This window comes from Homo sapiens, chromosome 11, assembly GCF_000001405.40.
Source record: "Homo sapiens chromosome 11, GRCh38.p14 Primary Assembly".
Lineage (NCBI taxonomy): Eukaryota > Metazoa > Chordata > Mammalia > Primates > Hominidae > Homo > Homo sapiens.
In genome coordinates, this window is record NC_000011.10 from 88,194,707 (window position 1) to 88,195,885 (window position 1,179).

At 36.1% G+C, this 1,179-nt stretch overlaps 1 annotated feature.

Annotated features, from left to right (window-relative positions):
- Nucleotides 524-623: an enhancer, noted in NCBI's record as "active region_5378". NCBI's record gives its function as "activates an Ori minimal core promoter by ATAC-STARR-seq in GM12878 lymphoblastoid cells {active_cell/tissue: GM12878}" and the evidence as "EXISTENCE:reporter gene assay evidence [ECO:0000049][PMID:35858748]".

Genomic DNA, 1,179 nt, shown 5'->3' on the forward strand with positions numbered 1-1,179 from the left:
TTTATTTCTGTCTCTTATCTGATCAAGCTGGCTATTCAACTTCCCATATCATATTGAATAGCAGTAGTGAGAGTGGATTCTTTCTCAAGGAGAATGTTTCCAGCTTTTTTCCATTCAGTATGATATTGGCTGTGGATTTGTCATAGATGTACCTTCAATGCCTAGATATTGAGGGTTTTTAACATGAAAGGATGTTGAGTTTTATTGAAAGCCTTTTCTGCATCTATTGAGATAATCATGTGGATTGATTTTTAGTTCTGTTTCTGTAATGAATCACATTTATTTGTTTACAGATGTTTATCAAATTTGCAAACCAGGGGTAGACCCTTCTTGATAATGATGGATTACCTTTTTGATGTGCTGCTGGATTTGGTTTGCTACTATTTTGTTGTGGATTTTTGCATCTGTGTTCATCAAGGATATCAGCCTGAAGCCTGCAGCCTGCAGCCTGCGGTTTTCTTTCTGCAGTGTCTCAGTCAGGTTTTGGTATCAGAATGATGCTGGCCTCAGAATGAGGTGGGGAGAAGTCCCTGATCCTCAATTTTTTTTTAGAATAGTTTCAGCAGAATGATACAAGCTCTTATTTATATATCTGGAAGAATTGTCTGTGGTTTCAACTGGTCCTTGGCTTTTTCTGGTTGGTAGACTTTTTATTACTGATTCAATTTTGGAACTGTTATTGATCTATTCAGGGATTCAGTTTCTTCTGGTTCAATTTAGGAGTTTGTATGTATTCAGGAATTTATCAATTTCTTCTAAGTTTTCTAGTTTGTGTGTGTTGAAGTGTTCCTGGCAGTCTCTGGGTGTTTTGTTTTGTATTTCTGGGGGGTCAGTGCTAATGCCTCCTTTATCATATCTAATTGTGTTTATTTCAATCTTCTCTCTTTTTTATTTGTCTAACTGATGATCTATCAATCTTATTTATTCTTTTAAAGAATAAACTCCTGGATTCAGAGATCTTGTGTGGTTTTTCACATCTCCATGTCATTTAGTTAAGCTCTGATTTTGGTTATTTTTTGTCTTCCACTAGCTTTGGGGTTGGTTTGCTTCTTTTTTTTTAGTTCCTCTGATGTTAGGTTGTCAATGTGAGATCTTTTTAACTTTTTGATCCTGGTGGTTGTGATATAAACTTTCCCCTTAATGCTGCTTTGGCTGTGTCCCAGAGATCCTGGTATGTTG